The sequence below is a fragment of the Homo sapiens genome, chromosome 6 (assembly GCF_000001405.40).
Source record: "Homo sapiens chromosome 6, GRCh38.p14 Primary Assembly".
Lineage (NCBI taxonomy): Eukaryota > Metazoa > Chordata > Mammalia > Primates > Hominidae > Homo > Homo sapiens.
Window position 1 is genome coordinate 135769732 of NC_000006.12, and position 1671 is coordinate 135771402.

The 1671-nt window shown below is 48.9% G+C and overlaps 1 annotated feature.

Annotated features, from left to right (window-relative positions):
- Positions 947 to 1447: an enhancer, noted in NCBI's record as "H3K4me1 hESC enhancer chr6:136091816-136092316 (GRCh37/hg19 assembly coordinates)". NCBI's record gives its function as "activates a minimal SCP1, AML or CMV promoter by ChIP-STARR-seq in naive H9 embryonic stem cells {active_cell/tissue: H9 hESC(naive)}" and the evidence as "EXISTENCE:reporter gene assay evidence [ECO:0000049][PMID:30033119]".

Below are 1671 nucleotides of genomic sequence, written 5' to 3' on the forward strand. Positions count from 1 at the left end.
CTCCTTCACTTATGAAGCTTAGTTTGGCTGGATATGAAATTCTGGGTTGAAAATTCTTGTCTTTAAGAATGTTGAATATTGGCCCCCACTCTCTTCTGGCTTGTAGAGTTTCTGCCGAGAGATCCACTGTTAGTCTGATGGGCTTCGCTTTGTGGGTAACCCGACCTTTCTCTCTGGCTGCCCTTAACATTTTTTCCTTCATTTCAACTTTGGTAAATCTGACAATTATGTGTCTTGGAGTTGCTCTTCTTGAGGAGTATCTTTGTGGCGTTCTCTGTATTTCCTGAATCTGAATGTTGGCCTGCCTTGCTAGATTGGGGAAGTTCTCCTGGATAATATCCTGCAGAGTGTTTTCCAGCTTGGTTCCATTCTGCCCGTCACTTTCAGGTACACCAATCAGATGTAGATTTGGTCTTTTCACATAGTCCCATATTTCTTGGAGGCTTTGCTCATTTCTTTTTATTCTTTTTTCTCTAAACTTCCCTTCTTGCTTCACTTCATTCATTTCATCTTCCATCGCTGATACCGTTTCTTCCAGTTGATCGCATCAGCTCCTGAGGCTTCTGCATTCTTCACGTAGTTCTCGAGCCTTGGTTTTCAGCTCCATCAGCTCCTTTAAGCACTTCTCTGTATTGGTTATTCTAGTTATACATTCTTCTAAATTTTTTTCAAAGTTTTCAACTTCTTTGCCTTTGGCTTGAATGTCCTCCCGTAGCTTGGAGTAATTTGATTGTCTGAAGCCTTCTCTCAGCACGTCAAAGTCATTCTCCGCCCAGCTTTGTTCCATTGCTGGTGAGGAACTGCTTTCCTTTGGAGGAGGAGAGGTGCTCTGCTTTTTAGAGTTTCCAGTTTTTCTGCTCTGTTTTTTCCCCATCTTTGTGGTTTTATCTACTTTTGGTCTTTGATGATGGTGATGTACAGATGGGTTTTTGGTGTGGATGTCCTTTCTATTTGTTAGTTTTCCTTCTAACAGACAGGACTCTCAGCTGCAGGTCTGTTGGAGTACCCTGCCGTGTGAGGTGTCAGTGTGCCCCTGCTGGGGGGTGCCTCCCAGTTAGGCTGCTTGGGGGTCAGGGGTCAGGGACCCACTTGAGGAGGCAGTCTGCCCATTCTCAGATCTCCAGCTGCGTGCTGGGAGAACCACTGCTCTATTCAAAGCTGTCAGACAGGGACATTTAAGTCTGCAGAGTTTACTGCTGTCTTTTTGTTTGTCTGTGCCCTGTCCCCAGAGGTGGAGCCTACAGAGGCAGGCAGGCCTCCTTGAGCTGTGGTGGGCTCCACCCAGTTCGAGCTTCCCAGCTGCTTTGTTTACCTAAGCAAGCCTGGGCAATGGCGGGCGCTCCTCCCCCAGCCTCGCTGCCACCTTGCTGTTTGATCTCAGACTGCTGTGGTAGCAATCAGTGAGACTCCGTGGGCGTAGGACCCTCCCAGCCAGGTGCGGGATATAATCTCGTGGTGTGCCGTTTTTTAAGCCGGTCGGAAAAGCGCAGTATTCGGGTGGGAGTGACCCGATTTTCCAGGTGCGTCCATCACCCCTTTCTTTGACTCGGAAAGGGAACTCCCTGACCCCTTGCGCTTCCCAAGTGAGGCAATGCCTTGCCCTGCTTCAGCTCGCACACGGTGCGCGCGCCCACTGACCTGCGCCCACTGTCTGGCACTCCCTAGTGAGAT